General features: G+C 39.3%; 1 protein-coding gene and 1 long non-coding RNA gene across 3 annotated transcripts in view, besides 8 other annotated features; one reads left to right on the top strand and one right to left on the bottom strand.

The window, feature by feature from the left end:
- Positions 1-22,214, top strand: part of EFNA5 (ephrin A5) — a 294,044-nt gene that overhangs the window by 94,920 nt on the left and 176,910 nt on the right. The gene's annotated exons all lie outside the window — the stretch shown is intronic.
- Positions 707-2,203: an enhancer, noted in NCBI's record as "VISTA enhancer hs1734". NCBI's record gives its function as "enhancer in: midbrain (mesencephalon)[8/10]" and the evidence as "EXISTENCE:transgenic organism evidence [ECO:0001131][PMID:17130149]".
- Positions 3,676-3,970: an enhancer, noted in NCBI's record as "tiled region #13332; K562 Activating DNase matched - State 12:CtcfO". NCBI's record gives its function as "activates a minimal TATA promoter and a strong SV40 promoter by Sharpr-MPRA in K562 cells {active_cell/tissue: K562}" and the evidence as "EXISTENCE:reporter gene assay evidence [ECO:0000049][PMID:27701403]".
- Positions 3,981-4,130: an enhancer, noted in NCBI's record as "active region_22867". NCBI's record gives its function as "activates an Ori minimal core promoter by ATAC-STARR-seq in GM12878 lymphoblastoid cells {active_cell/tissue: GM12878}" and the evidence as "EXISTENCE:reporter gene assay evidence [ECO:0000049][PMID:35858748]".
- Positions 4,591-5,302: an enhancer, noted in NCBI's record as "NANOG-H3K27ac-H3K4me1 hESC enhancer chr5:106906417-106907128 (GRCh37/hg19 assembly coordinates)". NCBI's record gives its function as "activates a minimal SCP1, AML or CMV promoter by ChIP-STARR-seq in primed H9 embryonic stem cells {active_cell/tissue: H9 hESC(primed)}" and the evidence as "EXISTENCE:reporter gene assay evidence [ECO:0000049][PMID:30033119]".
- Positions 4,701-4,980: an enhancer, noted in NCBI's record as "active region_22866". NCBI's record gives its function as "activates an Ori minimal core promoter by ATAC-STARR-seq in GM12878 lymphoblastoid cells {active_cell/tissue: GM12878}" and the evidence as "EXISTENCE:reporter gene assay evidence [ECO:0000049][PMID:35858748]".
- Positions 7,227-7,762: an enhancer, noted in NCBI's record as "OCT4-NANOG hESC enhancer chr5:106903957-106904492 (GRCh37/hg19 assembly coordinates)". NCBI's record gives its function as "activates a minimal SCP1, AML or CMV promoter by ChIP-STARR-seq in naive H9 embryonic stem cells {active_cell/tissue: H9 hESC(naive)}" and the evidence as "EXISTENCE:reporter gene assay evidence [ECO:0000049][PMID:30033119]".
- Positions 7,227-7,815: a biological region, named in NCBI's record as "OCT4-NANOG hESC enhancer GRCh37_chr5:106903957-106904492".
- Positions 7,476-7,815: an enhancer, noted in NCBI's record as "active region_22865". NCBI's record gives its function as "activates an Ori minimal core promoter by ATAC-STARR-seq in GM12878 lymphoblastoid cells {active_cell/tissue: GM12878}" and the evidence as "EXISTENCE:reporter gene assay evidence [ECO:0000049][PMID:35858748]".
- On the bottom strand, positions 11,528-19,083 carry LOC124901038 (uncharacterized). The gene is made up of 2 exons (XR_007058895.1): positions 18,795-19,083; positions 11,528-18,693 (listed from the first exon to the last, which is right to left on the bottom strand). It is a non-coding gene; the product is annotated as an uncharacterized LOC124901038 (long non-coding RNA).

The raw sequence follows: 22,214 nt of genomic DNA, 5'->3' as shown, positions 1-22,214 counted from the left end.
GTTTGCCTGGCATTTCCTCCTTTAGGAAATGAGGCAGTTTGCAGAAAAGAAATTAAATAAATCCTGCCTTTCCTTTTTATTGCCTTTGAGATTTCCATGAAAACTTTTATTTCTTGGGACCTCTAAGTATATTTGCTATTGGCAAATGCTGATGTTCTCTTAACTAAATGATTTTGGAAACTGCTAGAAATAGGTCATGTTAAATAGGTGGAATCCTAGATGCTGTCTTTTTTCTTTATAATCTCTTTCTCCCTGATACCTTGAATTTTTACCAAATCTTTTCATTCTGTGGCCCAATTCTCATAGTGGAATGTAAACTCCTCAAGGGTAAGGACTATGTGCTGTGCTACTTGTTTTCATTGAGCTCAGTAGGTCTACAATAGATTATTTTATAGTTTTCAGGATCTCAGTCATCATGACTAACTTGCCTGGAAAAAAAAATCCAAGCTACATCTACCACATTTTCACCAACTTGAGAAAATGTTAATAAAAACATTTAAAACTGCATGAAAAGTATCTCTAACACATTTTATGAACTAATTGGTATGAAAAGCAGTCTTGGTGGGTTCAAAGGATTACTAGAAAAGGTTTTTCCCCTCAGAGGACATAATTTTCTCCTTTGGGATACATGGTATGTGTCCTGATGACCACAAAACAACCCAAACATTTTGGGAAAGTGTCTGCTTAGCTTTCTGGATTTAAAGTGCACCTGAAGATCCTTAAAAGTGTTACTAAGGTCAGTCTGTTTACAAAATATGATATTTTTCCTGATTACTTAAAGATCACTTCTTATCTGTTGGTGGAATAATTTCTTACAGACTAAAGGCTGCTTTTCACCTCTTGGATCTCTTTGATTAACTGCTTGTTATATTTATACCTCAGAACAGGACCAAAGAAAAATTCCGTTTTTATTCTTTGTTACGTTTGAAGAGTTAATGTGAAAGAACGAGTATCGTGCATTGTCAGGAAATGGTTTTTCACGTTAGCATCAGCAAAGCAGAGCAAGTGCCCTCTGCTGTGGCTTCTTCCCATATTAGACAGGGGTGTCCTTCAGCATCTTCACTGATGATGGGCATAAATCAAATTGAGAACAGTGGTATGTAGTGAATTTAGTGCAACTGCATTTTTTAATATGTAAGTAGGCTTAGGTTTTTATCTCCCTTATCTTAAGCCCCGTCAAGATCAAACTCAAGCAAGCATTCACATCCACAATTGAATCTCACCAGCCTTTTTCTTTAAGTTAACATTAGTTCAAACTCTCCCCACTGCTTCTGTCAATAGATCTTTTAAAGACAGGCATTAGAGTTAAGTTTGCCTTAGTCTTTTTCCCCCCTTCCATATAGCTTCAAGCCCAGGGGCTTCTTTTAATAGCATTAGTTAAGGCCCAGAATTGTGTAGACATTTGTGAAGGAAACTTGAAGTTTGGAACAGAATTGGCCTTTATAGTTTTTCCATGGGGGGAAAAAAATCTTCTTATGAGAATAAAGGCTGCCTACTAATCTGCTACCATCTGGAGAATGGAGAAGCCAGAGGTTGTTGGCACCAGGTCACATCCCTTATGTAAACTGTCAAATTCTTTTCATATTAATGGCATATTGAGTTTAATCTGAGGGGGTTTGGTATCAGTCAGAGCTTATTGAATGATTTTTTTTTTGCAAGGGAGGGCTCCTAGTATTGTTACAATATGAGAGAAAGACACTGAGTACTCCCGAAAATCAACCATTTGATTCATAAAAGTCTTCCTTGTACTCCCACTTTCCACCATTTAGTGATGTTTGAAGCCATGAGTAAAAATCCTCTGAGTTCTTCCAAATAACTCTTTTCCATCTGACTTTATTGAAGAAAGTATGAATACGTCTTAAATTCAATAAGAAAACCAATTGATAGTTATCATACTTATCCCCATACTTGAAATAAAATAGTAGTGAGCCTAAGATTCTGTTTTTCTTACAGATTATTTTGCACATATGTGCATGTGAGTATAAATATAGATGTGCATTTTGGTGCTTTAGGGTGTAATAGAACAGCTAAAATCACCCCAAGTCTTATGAGGCTCCTGCTAGCCAAGTGGTAAAGAATAAAAATCCTTACTTTTTGGTTATGAAACCTTTAGCCTCTTGTGGACACAGGGCCAAACAGATTGCAAATGTCTTGACAGCTCTATTCACAGCAGAAGCTTATTCCCAAAACTGGTGCAGATTGATTTTGTTCGTTCTAAAACTGTTCCGTTCTCCCCCTCTTATAAATAAAAATAGACCCACACACTCATTCCCAGACCTTTTGATAGGTAAGGGTTGAACTCTCTAAACCATAGCATGGAAACCCACGTAATCATGTTATTCCCTGGGATAGACATCCATAGTGCAAGCTAAAAGAAGTGGTGAATAAAAGCCGCTGTTGTATTCTGTACTATCCACATAGGATATTTTGGCAAAACAGGTCTAACACTGAATAAATATTTCTTGAACAAATAAATAAAAGAATGACTACAAACTCTCATTTTACCTGGACAGTCTTCTGCTTGCATAAGGAGCATGAAGAAACAAAACCTAAAAATTACGGCCAACAGGATTAAGTAAAGAAGCACTGAGATATCTAGCTTTGGAAAATTCTTTTAAATTCTGAAATGAGAGCATTTGTCCTTGGGGCCTATATTCCACTGGCACTTCTTACCCCCTGGTTTCATATGTAAACCAGAAAATGAAAACCAGACCCACTGACCCAAAGGAGATGAAGCATGTTTCTTTTGCCCATTATATTTCTCTGCTCACGCCTAGATGCCTTGCCTTCTCTGTCCTCTGTGTTTGAAGTTGAGAGCTGGGAACAGACATGAGATTGAGGTCCCAGGGAGAAGCCAAGTTCAGCCTGAGCTGGTGAACTCACTGAGACTAAGGGCAGATAATGTGAACTAAAGATACTCACTTATGACATTTGTGCCAGTAAGGGAAAGACCCACTGCGCCTTTACAAACAGGTTTCTTTTTGGTTGTCTTAACGGATGGCGCCTAGCTGAACGTCTTGGCAGTTTTCCTTAAGTAAGCGTCTCCAATTGATGATGATGGGAATGAGCTTAACACACAAGCCAGTATTACATAGGATTTTCTGCCAAAGACATTGAATGCACCAATTCTGAAGGGAATCATCATAAGGGACAGCGGGCTGATCTTACAAAACATCAGCATGCTTATGCAAGACCCCAACAGCAACAAAAATGACAAAGAATTAGGTGAAAAGGAAGGCAAAAGCTTGGGAAGAAACATGAAAATGTCCGTGTGAAGACATGTGTAAAAAAACAATGGAAGTGCAAAACTGATTTTAGTATTATATTTTGTTGGCAATAAATTCCATCCCGTTGTTTGAATGCATTTTGATCCTACGCTGCAGTGTCCATGTGCTAATAATTTAAATAATTACTGTTAACGTTATAGTAAACTCTAACTTCTAAAAGGGCAGTTAGTCCAGATTTTCTCCAGTAGTCAAGCACTGTATCTGTGAATGACTTAAGAATCTTTTCATGGCAGGTTCCCTTTGGCGGCCCCCTCCTCCCTAGCTTTCTAAACTTCTCACTTGCAAAGCAGCAAGCAGGTTTGTATTCATTCTTTTCAGCTTGCTTGGATTTTATCTGACTGCAGAGAACCGTGACTGGACAAAGATTGTGGTTTGGGGCGGTGACTGCTGTGACGGCACCCTTTGCTCCCATTGTGTGCTTTACAAGGGACTCGCTCTGCCAGAGCTCCTTTCTCCTTCCCCCGGTCTAAACCAGAGAGCTCCGAGGGCTGTCTGGCGCAGGACCAAGAGGCGGAGTTCAGCACCGCGGCCAGCAGGGGGCGTACTTGCCAGATAAGAACAGGTTTCTCGGTGCCAGAGTAACTCACATCACGCACGTTCTCTGCCGGGCTGTCCTTTTTAGTCAATTTGGCTCAAGATTAGACTCCAGAAGCATTTTATTTTGCCCTCTAAGGTCCCGGCCCACACCTGTATGACTGTCTGTCCACGCTGCTGTTTGCAGTTTCTTTTTGTTGTTAACAGTAGGCTCTGCTTTGCCATCCCTGCCGTCTGGTCACCTTTTACTTAGAAATTGGAGAGTGGTTTTCTTTCCCTCTCCCTGTATCACAGGTCAAGTTGAAGGGTACGGTCACCTGCAGGGAACAGGACCAAGTGTGTTCATTGAGCATTTTGCTGTTTTACATGACCTCGCCATAAAGGAGTGTCTCTACGAGAAAGGAAAAACCTGTTTCATAACGCAGTGCAGAGCTTTGTTTTCTCTCGTCAGGGTGACAGCCCTTTGGTTCCTGCCAGTGGGTATGCGACAGGAAGGTGGGGAAACTGGATCATGAAAATTCCACGGCTGGCAATTGCTCATTCTTTAGCCTTCTAGCCAGAGGATAGTGTCTGGTTCCCAGGGTGGCTCAGTACAGTATTTAATTCAGAGAGCCCAAACCTATGCCATTAGCATTTTATTCTTTAAAAAAAAAAAAAGAGGATGACCCTTGGTAATTTATAAGCAGCTTCAGCATAGTCTGGCACGAGGGGGTGATTGAGGAAGCGTTTTGTTTTTTGAAACTTGGATTCAGTGAACTTGTTGACTGGACTTTGCTGGGTAATGTTTTTCCCCGACAGCGAGCCATCTGCACAGGAAAAGTTCACAGTGCAACCCCGGGGCTTGTTACCACAATGTGGTGCTTTATGACTGGGAGCCTTTTCTTGAACGCCTGAGCCACTAGGTTCCTGTGCTCTCTGCCCCAGGTTGGATTACAAGTTGCCCCAGTGCTGGAGCAATTCCCACTCTGGCTGGGGCGGACACGGGAGCAGAAACCCCACAGCAGGTGCTGATGCTTCGGATATCTTTTTCTGTAGGCCCCTAAGCCCTCTTCCCCCACTCGCTCACAGTTCCCAACCCTTGCCGCCCTGGGCCCCATTCTTGGATTAGTTCTCAGGCAGCTGAAAATACTGATGTGCTACTTCCTGTTGAGAGAGAGAGAGAAGAGAGAGTGCACCCGTGCAACTGCAACAGGTACCCCCCAGGGAGGAATGTGAAATCACTGAGCTCAAATCTTAGATGGCTTTCAGAAGTCTGTGTAGAGTGAGTTTACTTTCGTTTGTTTTTAGCAGAAGCCCATTATTTAATGGCAGCAGGTTTGTTTTCAAGTCCCTTGGAAGTAACTTGGTGGTATTTCAGGTATATACGGATATAGAATCCAAACTCTGGTATTTATTGGTTCTTACTTTGCTCACATCAATTGGTCTGTTTAAGCCAGTCATGTGCACAATAGGGTTCCAACATTAATTTTTTTTCAGAAACTGAGATTTACTTGCTGTCCTCTTTTTCTACTATTAGAATCATTAATACCTGCCCGCCCCCACCCCCACACACACACTTTTTCATTTTAAAAGTCATCTCTAGGAGCTGTCTTTCCCAGAGCCTCATTGTTCATGAATTATATTGTGAATCCATTTGGACACCGACCAGGAAGTTGCTATAATTGCTCACATGCAAGTAAAAGCTTTCTCTGTGTATTAATTAGTTGATACAAGGGATTAAGATGATTACATGAAAGGCATTGCTACTTCCCTCTGAATAGTTAGACCAAGGTGGGTGCCAAGGCATCATTTGATCCCATTTGCTCAGCATGTTCCCTTGATAAAGGCACAGAATTTGAACAGTGAGGTTTCCGGAGGCAGCAGAACGTGGGAATCATTTGGATTCACTGTGTCTGTTGATGTGAAATGTGGGATATTAATCAAGGCTAATTACATGCAATGGGTTTGGAACCAACTGAAGGCCAGTTCAGGGCATGGTTCTCTATGTAATTACGGACTTTAAGGTACCAGGGTAATTACTGGAAATTAGAGGCCCTTCCTTTATGGGTCTTGCCTCTCAAAATGTGAAAACAGTTTCTTTCACCATTAGGAGGTAGGTCTCTCCTCAGAGTTTGGTGTTAAACAGATACAGCCAGCTTTTAAGTAGGTCTTGGTCATGCTATGTCAGCTTTCTAGAGTTAGGGCAGTAATCCAGATAATTCTGGCCTACTTTTTTTTCCCTGTCAGTGATCTTCTGATATTTTAATTCAAAATAAAAAGTGGTGTACACTTGCTTAGGAAGTGGAATTTTAATAGTTCACTGTCCTTTTGTAGAAGATCATTTCCTCTTGTGTTGTTTGTTTGCTTTTTTTTTTTTTTTTTTGGTCTCCCAGGCTGGAGTGGCATGGTGCAATCTTGGCTAACTGCAGCCTCCCCCTCCCAGGTTCAAGTGATTCTCCTGCCTCAGCCTCCCAAGTAGCTGGGATTACAGGCACATGCCACCATGCCTGGCTAATTTTTTTGTATTTTTAGTAGAGATGGGGTTTTACCATGTTGGCCAGGCTGGTCATGAACTCCTGACCTAGGTGATCCTTCCACCTCAGCCTCCCAAAGAGCTGGGAATATATATATATATATATATATATATATATATATATAAATATATATATACACACATATATATATAAATATATATACACACATATATAAATATATATACACATATATATAAATATATATACACATATATATAAATATATATACACACACATATATAAATATATATATACACACATATACATAAATATATATATATATACACACATATACATAAAAATATATATATATATACACGTATATATATTTTAAGGGTAGTCTGCAGTCCTTTCTATTAATACATTTAATATCTTTTTACTTGGAAATTTGAGTTGCTTCACAATGTATGAGTGTTTGGAGATGCTACTTTTTTTGAGGAAGCCCCTTCCTAGAGGGCTGGGAAAGCCACCATTGTGAGACTCTTGTGGGAAGGTGAACATTCACCCCCAATACAGAAAGCCCCAAAACCCAGATTCTTGTTTCCTGGATCTCTGGTAGCATATGTCTTTATGCTCATCTGGGGGTTAATATGCTAAGTATAGATTTAACTATGCGTATCTTTGCTTACAGGCATGTGTTTATTAAAAGCTCAGGAAAAGGACTTGGCCACTAAGGTCAACAGAACCAAGGTGGGAGGAACTAGTGATTTTTATAAGTCATATATTTAGCTGTCCTGACATTGTTCTTTTTAAGTGCTTTCAGAATTAGTTCCTATTATAGATACACCATTTCTGAATCTGAAGACCGAGAAGGATTTGTAAAAGTATGGAGGGCTTATGATAATTTTATAAAACTGAGGTTTTGTATATTTTATATATAAGATATTCTGTATCAAATTTTTTAAAAAATGTTTTTTCAACTAGTTGATTTCATCACAAGGCTCAAACCCTACAAATTCTGAAGTTTTATTTATGTTGGCATTTCTGATTCTGTTATGTTCCACAATTATTTGTATGTTCTCTGTCTAGAAAGTCTATGTCTATGTCTAGCCTCACTGCATGTTCCTGACTTGGGTTTGAGGATGGCCAATGGAAGAAGGAGTCATTGTGTCTCTAAATTGGGGCATTTAAGGACTGCAGCTGTCAGTTTCTTTCCTGATGGCTTTACCCTTTGTTTGATCACTCAAGTGTTAATGCAGTGCTGCTGCTGGCCTGATTTCACCATTGCTTCCCCTCCACTACCTGCCTAGGCATGTCCTCTCTGTAGGAATTGCCAGGCTTCTCCCTGGTCTAACTGTCTCTCAATTCTCTTTTCTGGCTTTCCCATGGGTTGTTCTCTCCCCACGATCTTTATTATTCCTCTTTGTCTTTTCTCCTTTTTTTCTTCCCCTCCCCTGTAGAAAAATGGGTCTGTATTTTGATAGCTACGGGGTATATATGTGTATATGCAGAGGGGTATATGTGTGTTTGTATAAAGCTTGAATATAGGCCAGGCACAGTGGCTCACACTTGTAATCTCAGCACTTTTGGAGGCTGAGGTGGGAGGATCACTTGAGCCTAGGAGTTTGAGATCAGCCTGGGCAACACAGCAAGACCCCATCCCTACAAAAAAAATTAAAACGAGCTGGGCATGGTGGCATGTGCCTGTAGTCCCAGCTACTTGGGAAGCTGAGGTGGGAAGATCATCTGAGCCCAGGAGGTCGAGGCTGCAGTGAGCCATGATCTAGCTAGCCATTGTACTTCAGCCTGGGTGACAGTGAGACCCTGACTGTAAGAAAATAAAATAAACAACAATAACAAAAAAGAACTTGAATGTAAATATTAGAAACACATTCTTCATTCCCAGCCACTCGCTACTTTGCCTCACATGTCCAGTGCCCAGTGCCACACCCCTTAATTTCTTGGCATATCCTAGAAATGCATATAGACCTCCACCTAGGTTTTCCCTATCTGCAGCCTTCAGGGAACCTGGCTATTGTTTTTATAAAGTTAATGGTCCTGCTACTCTTGTGAGAGAATGCTGCTGCTAGAGCCCTGTGTATGAATGTCTGCCTTTTGTCTTCCCTTTCTTGGGAGTCTTGGGTGTCTTAGTTTCGGACATCCCAACCTGGGGCAGGGGTGGGTGGATGGGATCCTGTGTCTCAAACTTCATTTGTCTGTCATGGTATTCTCTCACCTCTCCAGAGTACATAAATGACTTTTTCGGGCCCCAGAGCTTGAAAGTATGCACAGGTACATGTGCCCACACACATTCTGCCTCTAGTACAAGGGTAAGCCCAAGGTCATTGAAGTAAGTCAGCAAAACTGGAAGCCAGGGTTGTTGATTCTGTGCCTTATTCCTTGCAAGCCCTCTCAGATTTTCTGGAAGAACTTATATACATTTTTCTCTTCCCCCTGCATTTTAAAGATTTATTTCATCTTTAGCTTTATTGAAAGGAAGTGGAATTTGATCTGTGGGGACCTTTTTTTTTGGTGCGGAATGCCAGTGACATCATGGAATGACCAGAGTCCTGCTTTTTATTAAAGGACACAGGGAGGGTTGTGCTACATACACATAGGACAACTCTTTCTCGTTTTGCTTATTTCCAATCATATCTAGCTTTAATTTCTTTGAAACATTTTTTAAAAGTTCAAGTGCCATTGAATAGAAATGATGTGGATTTTTTTAAAGTAAATATTAACTTATCAAATTCAAATGAGAACTTAAAAAGGGAAACTGTAGTAAGGTTATGCTAGACACTAAATTTTTGCTATCATGGTTCCTTCAAGGATTAGTCAAGATTAATTAAGGGAATCACAAAGGATTGCATTTAAGGACATATTTGGAAGTATTTATTGTATAGTAAGAATGAGGAACAATATTCTGTTCTTTAGTACTTTCACACTTTTGCAAACTTAACTGGAAGAAACCCAAAACCTAAAACCCAAATGGTATCGCAGGCAGTGTTTATCCTCCTCTGCTTCCCCTATGGTTGATAAAAGTTGACTGATGGAATTTGAAAGGAAGCCAGGAGTCTTTTTTTAAGTGTGTGATGTCTGTGAAGCTGCAGTAATTTTGGGTGCTCCCTCTTGTGAAGATCTATGTATGCATGACAAGGAATGCAGCATTTAGGTATTTGCTTACGTGTTTTAAAATATCATTAAGAAAAGCATTGGAAATGATGGCTGTGTTTTGTGTTTTATTTTTTAAGCAGACTGTTTTATTCTAAGCTCCTTTTAAGCGAGCTGGAAACCATCTCCACTGACACAGCCTTTTCCTTTACGTTTGAACTTTCCTGGCAAAAATGACTCGTCGATAGAGTCCAAGCTAGTTCATTCCCTTTGTGTGTAGAAAATTAGACACATGAATGCCACAAATTAATCAAATGTAAGTCCAGAATAGAAGGCTCTCACCCAGTAACATGACTGTGAAAGCTGCTTTGAATAAGAGGGAAAGGACCCATCAAATATACATGAAAAATAGTGAGTTTATGAAGGCCCAGGGATTGTTGGGCTTGACCGGTCCTGCGTGCCATCACTTAGAGGGGGGCAGGAGCAGAGGGTAGGAGCGAGGGGACCACCAGCCCATAAGGTGGAGTTTTTCTTTTTTAAATGATCTTCTTCCATTGAGAGAATCTTCTGGGAATATCAATGAGCCCCTTGCTGAGACAGGGTTGGGGGTCAAAGTGCAGGGCCAGCTGCCAGCCTTCCTGAGGGACAATAGCAAAGCCCTTCTGTACATATGACAAAAGGATATTCCAAAACAATGTGTTTAGTCACTGAATGAAGCAGCAGCTAAAGTAAAATTATGCAGCGTCATGTAAAATTAACTTTTTCTCCTCCATCTTCTTCCTAACAGTGGAAAATAGATTGACTCAGCTCTTATTTTTCTGTTTTCACTCAGCTATTTTGTGATTTATAGAACTTTAATCATTTAACCATATAAGTTAAAAATAATTTATGCCCCCTTAACACGTAAATATGAATATTATAAAGGAAAAAGTTTTCTTGCAGGCTTTTGTGTTTAATATATATACCTAGCATTATTTGGCTGTTATAAAACAGGAAAATACATATTTCTAGATGGACATAAAACATATGTATATATATTAGATAAACAGCAAACTTTGTTGTGCAAATGATGAAAACATAATGTAGGAGCATAGTAATGTGATTGAATTAAATTTATACACACAAACATTATTTCCCAGACTAACATTAAAAATAAAAGTTGAACTATGAAAATATTAGCAAGAACTACTCAAGTATTTATTCCGAGATGCTTCAAATCTGGATTTGATATAATGTAATTTATGTAAACATAAACAGAGATGAAATATGAGAAGCCCTAATATTAATATAAAACAAAATGAAAACTTGGCATTTAGGTCACATAGCATAGCTATGCGTACTATTTTCCTAACTCTATCTTGATAAAATTGAAAGTTACCCATAAAAATGCTACTCTGTGGTCTTTCAGCGCATATTTTTTTTGTTCCTGGTGTGGTTTGAATTTCATATTGTGTTTGTTTTTCTTCATTCTCTTCATCCTCACCCTGAAACCACAGAAGGTTTTTCAGTGGAAAGGAGAGTATTGTATCACACTTCCTGGTTGGTGCCAATTAGTTCCAGCGTGGACTTTCTTTATGGCTTTATTTTGGAATGATATCATATTATTGGTCTTCACGTTTGCTAGAATAGTTCCAGTTTTCCATCTTTTAGCACAAATCCCTGAAAAGGTCACATACAACTTACTTACTGGCCAAGCACACACGCTGAGGGTATGTGGTAAGATTACTAAGAATGAAAAGTTGGAACTCTTTATGTTCAGTTCTTAGAGTCAGAATTTATGGAACCCATTCAGCTAGTTAAAGACTTCTTAGATCAGACAGTGATATAATTTAATGTTTGACATTTATTACCATGTATCCTTAACAAATTAATAATTTTAAATCTGAAAAAGGACCCTTGAGAAAACTAGAAGAGGACAAGGATCAGGTAAGAAGCCCTGCAGGGACCTGCCCAGGTCATTACAGATGGGGCTGTTAGGATCAAAAAAAAAAAAAAAAAAAACAAAAACCCAAACAAAAACAAAATAAAGTATTCCAACTGTGGTTTCAGCCATTTCTTCTTCAATATCTTGGCACTTGACAAACATTTGTTGGGTACCTGTATTATGAGTTAGGTGCTTTTGGGGAATACAATACCTTTTACATCCTAATAACAGACACAGGACAATTAGAGTATCATCCGCTAATTGCAGGGCAAATACAACTAATACCATCAAGCACATACCAAATGCTGTATATGTGTGAAAGAGGAAGCCCCATGTTGGCGGGAAGGTCAGGAAGGATTTCTTAGGAGAGAAGGGTGTGAAATGGCAGGATTTTGAAAATGCAGAATGGAGGGAAGGCTAGGAGCCAAGACAGAGACAAGAAGTTCTGCCTTTAACAGTAATTTGTCAAGCCACTTTGCCTGGAGCATATTCCAGAAAATGATTTATGCTGGACACTTGGGTAAATAGACCCAGCTGCTGGAGGGTGGGAAGCAACAGGCCTGCAGAGTGTCCCTCCCCAACCCCACAGCCTCCCTAGCTCCTGCCCAGCCCCTGCCCATCCCCTCTGCAGGCTGAGGAGGAAAATAGCAGGCGTAATCCTTGTAGAGCACAGTAGTTGAGACCACTTTGACTGAGGGAGGGAACCTGATGGAGGCAAATAGTAGTCCCAAGGAGGAGGTTCTCAAATGATAAACTGAGAAGTTGTTTGTACCAGGAAGGTAGAGGGAGGGTTCTGATGACTTGCGAACAAGACTGCAAAGAATTGAGAATTGCACTTTAGAAAGAATAATCTTAAGGTCAGGTGAGACTGGAGACCGAAAGCCCAGTTAGGAGTCTGCTGCCACAGTGCAAGCAAGAGGGATGTAAATTTAGATACAAGGAGACTCAAGGAAAGGAAAAGAAAGCATGGCCGGGTGCAGTGGCTCATGCCTGTTATCCCAGCACTTTGGGAGGCTGAGGTGGGAGGATCACTTGTGGCCGGGAGCTGGAGGCCAGCCTAAGCCTAGAAAGCATAGTGAGACCCCATTTCTACAAAAAATGAAAATTAGCCAGACATAGTGGCTCACACCTGTTGTCCCAGCTACTTAGGAGGCTGAGGCAGAAGGAACATTTGAGCCTAGGAGGTGGAGGCTGCAGTGAGCTATGATAGAGCCTCAGTACTCCAGCTCAGGCAAAAGAATGAGGCCCTGTCTTAAAATAATGACAATAATAATAATAATAACTTTTAAAAATAAAATAAAAAGAAAGTAGGTGTCCCAAGAACTTGGAAGAGAAAGAAAGCATCTGACCACAGGAGGGAACACAAAAGGAGCAGGTGGTGAGATGACTCCCAGGTTTTAATGATGGGGCAGGAAAGTGGGGTGCTTGGGGAAAGTCAGATGTAACCGAAGATAGCCAGCTGGAGATAAGCTGTTAGTGTGGAATTATTCAAAAATAGCAAATAAGAGTGATCTCTCTTTAAAGGTTTGGTCCTTAAAGAGCATGGACTATTAACTAAGCCCTGCTCTTTGCAAAGGAGTTATTTAATGAGTTTTCTTCCCCTAGAATTGGGTATGGCTTTGAGAAAACCCATGCATCCCTCTCATGGTCATCATAAGGGTTGCAGAGCTGGTGGGTGATTACTTTTGTACCCCACTGACTTTCATGTTGGTTTGTGAATCCTCTGAAAATGAGGCCTTTCCTTTTTGTGTATTTTATAACACAAACAGCTCAGTAATTTAATGCTGGCTGTTCCAATATAAATATTACATTATAAATAAAAGTTCCCATTATTGCCACAAGAAATTATCTGGATGCTAAGAATAATTTGGCTTTATAAGCTCATACACCAATATATTGTTTCCAAACCCAAATATTAAATGTATAAAAGGAAGCTCTCTTTTCTATTTTATTTTTTGCACTAGATTTAAAAATTTCTTGATGGAGGAGTCTGTCTTCTGCACAGTAGGTACTCAACACAGTTTGATATTCACAATGGTGAGTTTACTACATATTAGGAACTTTTTTAAAAAATGATGCTCAGCTTCTTTTATAGGATCCTTCATTACTTTATGTCTAATTCTAGTTTTTTTTAATGGGCCATGGGACCAAGCTAGAACATACCAATTATACTATATTCAAACTTTGATTCTCAAGTCAAAATCTGTTACAGAAATACTGTTGCTGTGGGTGCAAGCAACCTAATAAATACTTTCAACTTCATTTCACAAAAAGTGACCTAGAATGCTGATTTAGAAAAAATATAAGCTTAAAAATGACGCTATCTGCTTGTATGTGAGAGAGAGAGAGATGGAGAGAGAGACAGACGATGGGCGGAGGGGAGGAAAGAGCTAGGTAGAATGATAAATGAAAATCTAAAAAGGCGGGCTTCACTTCACTGGTATTAATTTGGTAAATTATCCATAATTTATTAGAGCTTGTAAACATTGTGGCAAAATTTTTTGCCCTGTCAGTAATGAATTGCTACATCATTAATTTTGTCAAAGGATCAAGAAACAACATTGCTGAGCTCAAAGAAACTCCTAGATGAATGAATATAGTTGGGTTGAAGTGCTGGTGTGGTTAGTTGAATTCAGCAGTTGAATCCACATGACCGTTTCTTTCCTCATGGTCAGCCTGACCTCAACTGCCAAGGGTGGCAGGGTGCGTCCCATCCCCCAGTGGGGAGGAGGCTGTGTAGTCAACACTGCATTCGGTTCCTTACGTTTCCCTGTGACACTGTCCTGGCCTGTATATATTTATATATTCACTTACTTCAGGCATGTCTAAAGTGGTAAATGAAAAAATACATTAAAAAAAAGTCAGTTGGAATAAAAATTATAAACTAGAAATGTATTAGATGAGAATATTTTATGGAGAACTTAATGTCCACTATCTGTTTAAGCATTAAATTTGGCATTTAGTCTCCTGTTAGCTGTGGGGAAAGGGAAACCTGGTTATTCATATAGTTGTAATTTTCTCATGAAAGTGTATTTTTTTCAGGCCAGGTGCAGTGGCTCACACCTGTAATCCCAGCACTCTGGGAGGTTTAGGTGGGCGGGTCACGAGGTCAGGAGTTCGAGACCAGCCTAGCCAACATGGTGAAACCCCATCTTTACTAAAAATACAAAATATTAGCCGGGCATGGTGGCACACTCCTGTAATCCCAGCTACTCAGGAGGCTGAAGCAGGAGAATTGCTTGAACCCAGGAGGTGGAGGTTGCAGTGGGCCAAGATAGCGCCATTGCACTCCAGCCTGGGTGATAGAGCAAGACTCCATCTCAAGAAAAAAAAGTGTACTTTTTTCCTGGTATTTAATGACTAAGAGGTGCTTGTCACATGGCTCTTAACACAAGTGGTACCAGGTAGCATAGCAGAGTTTATTTTGAATTTTATAAATTGCATTTTATGGCTATTTCTTACTAATGACCCTGTAAAGACCAAAATCATGGCTTTAAATTGTTAATTCTTAGAAGGCATTTCAGCAGGAAAGGCAGGTTTCAGTTGTCTTGTGCACTGAAATTGTCCAGGTATGCTTAATTTGCTCATCAGGCCTGTAAAGAGGTAGAGTTTGGGGAACCTAGGATAGTGAACAGGGATTATATCCCTTATACAGCATCTGTCTGCTGTACCTGTTCTTAATAGACATAGTTAATTAATGGATAAAGTCTCATGTCTCATAGACAGCAGTAGTTGCCTGTTGGTTGAAAAAAGAGCATTGTCTTTAGAACCTGATGTAAAGGTGGCGCTCACATTACAGAACTATAGGGCTTAGTTCTGGATCCTTAGAGCTTGGTCCATGCAGCCATTCCTGGCTCTGCCTCACCTTTGGGATTCTGATCTCAGGGAGCCTCACTCCATGCATTGTCTAAGCAAGTCGCTGTTACGATGGATGAGGGCCTGTCCCTGCAGTACGATATGGAGGGTAGTTGGGGATGGGAGCAAGGAGAGGAGCCCAAGTCTAATCCATCCCCTTTTTGAGAGATAAAGAATCTGATAACCACAACGTTAAGCCACTTGTCCTTGCTACACAGCTAGGTAGTAGCATATGTGAAACTAGAACGGATATTTAAGAGCTTGACTTAACGTTTGTGGCCAGCTAAAGTATGAGCACAGTTCACAGCGGCACGGGGGAGATGACTCAAGTAGTTCAATGGAAAGAAGGACAAGTGGGTAATATTAAAGGTGAATAACAAGGTATTTTTTACTTAGATTTTAACACAGCCAAATTCACCTGCTCTTTATGGTTGAGACTACATAATACCTAACTAGAAGAGGAAATTTCATCTGTCAACTAGTTACTTTGTTACTTTGTTTAAGGAATCAGGTGATTTTTCTTCTTTTCTTCTCCTTTTGTACCTTATATTATTTCAAAGGCCTTAATTGGCCTGTTGCTTTTAATAACATAGTCAATATTTTAAGTAAAAATTGAAAATCTTCGTATATTGGCTGATAAGCATTATGTAAAATTTGAAGTTGAAAGTAATTCATTCTTTAGCCCTTTAATGTAAAAGCAATCTCTTAAAAATAAACTTTCAGCATAAGAAGCTTGAATCTTCAGTGTTGGAGCATTTGAGAAAATAGAGTAAATCTAGTTTTATATAACTACCCTAATACTCTTAGAATACCAAGTGTTTCACAGTAACAAGTTTGAGATAGGATCCAATATGAATATATTATCCCCACAGCCAGCCTGTTCCTTTAGTCAATTTCAGAACACATATTAAAGAAAGCAATATCTATGCCCAATCCTTGTTTCAAAGTATATTCATATGTTCAGATTTGGGGGGAAAGCATCCAGCAAGAAGTATTTTTTAAAGCAAATAAACTCCCCAAAGGATAATTGCTCTTCTAGAGGCATCAGTGTGTATTTTAATGTTTATCTTTGCAGTAGGGTACATTTCTATTTTCTTTCAGCAATTTTACTCCTAGCACCAGGATGGCTATAGGAGGACTTCTTCCAGAGATGTGATGAATGACTTTCAAACAGTTATATTTGAGACCATATTTTCCTTCAGAGAGAATATAAATATTCTTTTGATTGTGCATATGACTTAAAACTTCATGTATGTAGTGAAATGAACATAAACAGATGTAGTTGGGTCTTTGGTAAAATGTAAAGTTAGCATTCGTTATGAATTATATTGTGGAGAAGAAAAATTATGAGAGAACTGTTAGGGAGTGCTCTCTGCAAACATCAAGAGCAATTCATTTATTCCCTCATCCTGTCAGTAAATATTCAGTGCTCATTATGGGCCTGTTGCTATACTATATCCTAAGAGGGTTGCAAATATATATACATGTATATTTTTCGCTAGACAGATATATATGAAAGAGTCAAATGATGGTTTAAGAAGAAGAGTCACAACGAATGATCAGAAAATAAAGCCCCAGACAGCAGAAGTTACCATGAAGAAGGGTTTTGGAGGCAATGGGACCCAGCAGGGCTGCAAAGGTGCTGAGTGGTGGGAGAGGCAGTGGTGATGGGAGGGGCCAGGGTAGGGGGAAGGAAAGTTGCATAGGGAATCAGGGCATCTGGCCCTAGTCCTGGCCATTCACCATCCCAGTGATTTACGAAACTGTGTCAGTTCCCTGAAACATAAGATTATCTCAAACATCCCTTCTTGCCATTCTGTCATCTAAGCGCCCATCTGGCTGTAGAATTCTCTTCATTTCTGCCTCCAGTTTTTGGCTTAAACATAAAAGTGCCAGAACATATATAAGAAAAGAAAAACACAACAAAAACCTCATGTAAACCAACTTTCTTTTGTTCTCTTTCCTTTGATTCAGCCTGGATGATTCTGCTCCATAAATATTTCCCATTTAGAAAGTAATTACATCAAGGCAAAGCTATATGTTTAAACATATATGGCTTTTATTGTTACATGATAACTGAGTCTAAATTAGATGATTCTCATTAATGAAAGGACAAGAAAATAAGTAAGTCCAGACGTAATTAGGTCACAGCATTTGACCATTGTGTCTTAACCTTCCCTTTGCCCTTATCTGCTAAAGCTTTGGCCTTAATATGGACAAAGAGCAATTTAAATCTCTTTCCATTCCTATCCTTTTTCTTGAGTGGCTTCAAATCTAAACCTCTAATAAAGAAAAGGATAATAAAATAGCAGAGAAAGTATAATAGGAATTATATTGACTCTCATAGAAGTTTTGGAAGAGAAATATATTCTCTTTCTTCAGCTCTGTAATAATATAATAATGGTGTGATTTCTACTTTGCTAGACTAGGGACTATTTTGGAAATCTTTAATGAATATAATCAGGTGGTAAGCATTTAAAAATTACTATTTCCTGAAAGCTAGGAAATTATTGTTCAGTGTAAAATGCAAAAGGCAAAGGAAAAAAAGCGAGTTACTTAAAAACAAAAAATAAACAACAAAAAAAAAACAGTATAATCTGTGTGGCATTATGTAGTACAGTTGCCGGGAGTGGGGGTTAAAACTTGAGTTTTAGGCTTAACTTCGAATATTTCGGTGTAAGCTTGGGCAAGTCTTGTAATCTCTTTGGGGCTCAGATTTTTTTTCTTGTTTATGTTTATTTTAATGCCCCTCCCCCTCTCAGACTTTTTTTAAAATGCAAAATAATAACAGCAAGCATTTATATATACCATGTGCCAGGCACTATTCTAAACCTTTTATATTTAATTACTTAATCCTCCCACCTATACCGTGGGGGTAGATACTATCATATGATTGCAATTTTGTGCTTGTTTTATCTTGCATAATATTTTTGAGAAATTGTCTGAACCCAGGTCTCTTTGATTGTAAATGTATGCTGTGAACCGCTCCACTTGACTGCTTCATTATTTACATCATTATTATAAGAGGCCAACTATTTAGATTATTCAAAGGTAAAAACGCTTCTAAACACATGTAATGGTAACAAAACTTTGTATATACAAGCTATTTTGTCTCTAAAGGAACTCTGAAAAAGGTCACTTATAATTTTAGTTATTGAGCAAAATCTCTGATATTAGAGCCTCTTTTTAAATCCCCTTTGTACAGAGGAGAACTATAGTACACACACAGATAAGAGCCGGCAGCGTGTAGAAGAATGTCACACTAACCAGGATTGAATTCACTTCTGTATATGTCCATTGACAAATGTCATTGTTTAGACATGAGGAAACAAAAATAGCTTTTACCACATTGCCCCAGGCACCGCAGTCTCGGAATTCCTGTCAACCCTCAACTCTGCCAGTGGGCTGCGTGGTTCCTGAGGCAGCGTGTGGCTGAAACTCAAGCTAGGATGCCTGCCACCTGACCTCCAGGCTTCCCTCTCTCGCCCCTTCTCATTTAACAAATGTTTGCTAAGCACCTCCCACGTACCTGGCTGAAACTCAAGCTAGGATGCCTGCCACCTGACCTCCAGGCTTCCCTCTCTCGCCCCTTCTCATTTAACAAATGTTTGCTAAGCACCTCCCACGTACCAGGCATTGTGCTGGGGACCAAGGCAAATATGTTTACAGCCACAGATACGATCTGTGCCCTGTGTAGCTTACAGTTCAAAAGGGACATATAATGATAGACATGCTGTGAGAAATGAGGGAGATGTAGGTGGTTTTAGGAGAGGGATTTGGAACAGGAGCCTTAAGGTTTGGGCCCAAACAGCCGTTTAATTTCTTCCTAAGTATTCCAACTTTGGTATGACTAGTCTGCCACATACCGGGTCATTTAGGGCAGGTAAGATGTGCTGGAGGGACCTGAATGAGATCAAAATTTAGATTAAAAAAAAAGTCTTCCTGTGGCTTTTCATTAGTGGAATGTGAAATGGAGTAATGAATTGGCTTTATGAGGGCATTTGTTCAGGTGACTTCCTCTTGCTGCAGACCACTGGATTTGAGATAGTTATTTATTTTATTTTATTTATTTATTTATTTATTTATTTATTTATTTATTTTTATTTTGAGATGGAATTTTGCTCCTGTCACCCAGGCTGGAGTGCAATGCTGCGATCTCGACTCACTGCAACCCCCGCCTCCCCGGTTGAAGCGATTCTCCCGTGCCAGCCTCCTGAGTAGCTGGGATTACAGGTACCCGCTACCATGCCCAGCTAATTTTTGTATTTTTACTAGAAACGGGGTTTCATCATGTTGTCCAGGCTGGTCTCAAACTCCTGACCTCAAGTGATCCACCCGCCTCAACCTCCCAAAGTGCTGGGATCACAGGCATGAGCCACCACACCAGGCTGAGATATTTATTTATTAAGAAGACTATGATGGGTAGGAGAACAGAGTTCCAGCTTGAAGCATAGAAAATTTGAGTTTTACTTTGCAGTTTGTTGCCAAATAACTTGTGCAGGTTTTTGGTGGTGGTTGTAAACTCTAATAGGACTCTTGTGCAGATTAAGTAAGAATGTGTACATATAACAGCTCACATGGTGCCTGGCACATAGGAAGTGTGGATTAAATGTAGTTCTCCTGGTTACTAGTTGATGTGGGAGAGACTAAGGTGGATAGGAAACTGTGAGTGCCAGGTCTGGACAGCCTTGATGGGGATAGCATGTTTATCCACAAAGGCAGTTTAGGATACTTTTGTGCCAAAGAGAGGCAATGGGGTTGACTTACTGACCAAATAGACGGTAAGTAGTATAAGGGCTCAGAATGGGTATATTTTGGAGGGGCACAAGGTGTGAAGAAGGGAAATCATGAATGTGTCCAGCAGCGTAGACTGTGTCGTGCAATTTGCATGGAATGCCTGATCTTTATAGGAGGAGTATGAGCTGGTGAGTTGGATAGAGATGCTTTGAAAGGACCAGGATGTTTTACTCTGCACCCTAAGGGAAGCTCATCCTGCTTTTTCAGCCTTCTGGGTGAAAGATGAGAAAGAAGTAGAAAGAATGCTATTTTTACTATATTCTTGAAATGGAGATTTGCAGCAAGTTGCTACTTAATAAAGAAGTTTCTTTCCATTATTTTTGGCTTGAGATTTAATGAACAGTTGTAGCAAAATCAGATTAGCTATATACACTACGATTATAGAAGAATGTGTATATCTTACATCTAACTTTAAGCTATTATCCATTCTTTGCATTCCTTTCTTCTGTCACAGGTTAATTAAACCCATGTTGTGGTCAGTGCTTACTCTACATGGCAGAATGTTTAACATTCAGTTTCAGATGACTAGATGAGAAGTAATGGGATAAAAATCTCTTTACATTGATGACTTCAGCCTCAATTATTGTAGAATAAAATAATGATGAAATTAAATATGTAACACAAATAAAATCTCCATTCCTCTTCTCCTGTACACAAAATGGCATATAACAGTGGACACAAAAGCACTAAAAAATGGTTGAACATGGGTAGCTGCACGAACAGGATTACAAAGCTGCATGTTGGCTGACCAAATAGATTAATGGGTGATGTGTATCTGGCTATCTCAGGGTTCTGAAGGTGTACCAGAGCAAGATAATGAAATTGCCTGTCAGGTAATCTGATTTGAGGATTCCAGTCATATGTGAACTGGTGTGTGGGCTAATAAGCCAAGAGTTTGCCAAGACTCATTATTTTTAAAGCTGCTCAACTCTCTACATCTGTCTCTGCAGGATATGTTAGACAAAGTGTCCTGCATAGAGCAAGAGGTGGGGAACCCGTGAGAATGCCCAGGTTACCGAGAATTGCTGAGGCACAGCTCCAGATCGAGTTGAATGTTTCTGAGTTGTTCAGAGCCCAGCTAGAGAAATGCACAGCTGCCAGGCAGACAGCATGGTAACCTCTCTCCCTCCCAGCTGGCAGAAGCTGCTGTTGCAGAACGTAGTAGTAAATGTCCCTCCAAAGATGTGCAGGGTGTAGGAATTTGCATCTTGGCTCGGGCATTTAGTAGCACTTTAACCTTGGCCAAGGTACATAGCCTTTTTAAGACTCGGTTTTCCTATCTGCAAAGTATAGAAAATAGTGCCTAATCCATAGGGTTATTACTGATAGTGAAGTTGATCTCACAGTATTTGGCACATGATATTTGTTAGGTATAATCAAAGGATTAAATAAATTGAGGGCCCTATACACTTCATGGATATTTCTCTTTGCCTATCAATTAGTTTCTTCCTACCTCCTTTTTAATTCTGAAATGATTATAATTGTTTCCTTTCTCTTCCACCTAATGTTTCTATGAGGATAAATAGAGAAACCTCACCATTACTTATTATTGGTATGTTTTTGTTTTATTCTGCTTTTACATGTATTATGCAAATATTAATTTTTCCCATATCAGTGTCATAGAAGAATCACCAGCAGTAATACTTCTTTTATTTGGGGCATAAAAGTCAACTGAAATATCAGAATGGGAGGATTCTAGAAAAGGTGCTCGAAGCTTTAATTATTTTATTTCTGATACATATGAGATGTGTGCTTTTAATATACATCTGTTTATATTCTAGTGTAATTAATTTCTCCCTTTTGTAATTTGTTAGCCTTGAAGTATTGGAAAAAAATAAAATGTCTCAGTGAATGAACTGTTATGATCAGTATGATTTTTAAAACAGTGCTAACAAATTATAGGGCGATCAGCCAGCTTTCTGGACATAAGTTACAGTTTGCCTCTTTGAAGAAACTCATTTTACTCTGCATATAGAATTTTTATCATAAAATTATTCTATTTTTCAAAGGAATTACTTCTCAACTCTAGGTATTAATTTTCTTTTGTAAAGTATCAGATATTTTCACATCCCAGGCTAAATAATAATCCAGAAATAACTGCAAAGAAAGAAAATATAATGATGTGTGGAAGAAGTTACTAGGTGTGGGGTTGTCTTTTTTTTCTTAAGAACAAAGAATCATGCAAATGCCTTTTTAACTGACTCTGTGAAGAACTAATCCCTCAGAATGATAATAATGTGTATATAATTTAGA

This window comes from Homo sapiens, chromosome 5, assembly GCF_000001405.40.
Source record: "Homo sapiens chromosome 5, GRCh38.p14 Primary Assembly".
NCBI classification, from domain to species: Eukaryota; Metazoa; Chordata; class Mammalia; order Primates; family Hominidae; genus Homo; species Homo sapiens.
The sequence above is the reverse complement of the archived record's forward strand: the minus strand, read 5'-3'. Positions and strand labels throughout refer to the sequence as shown.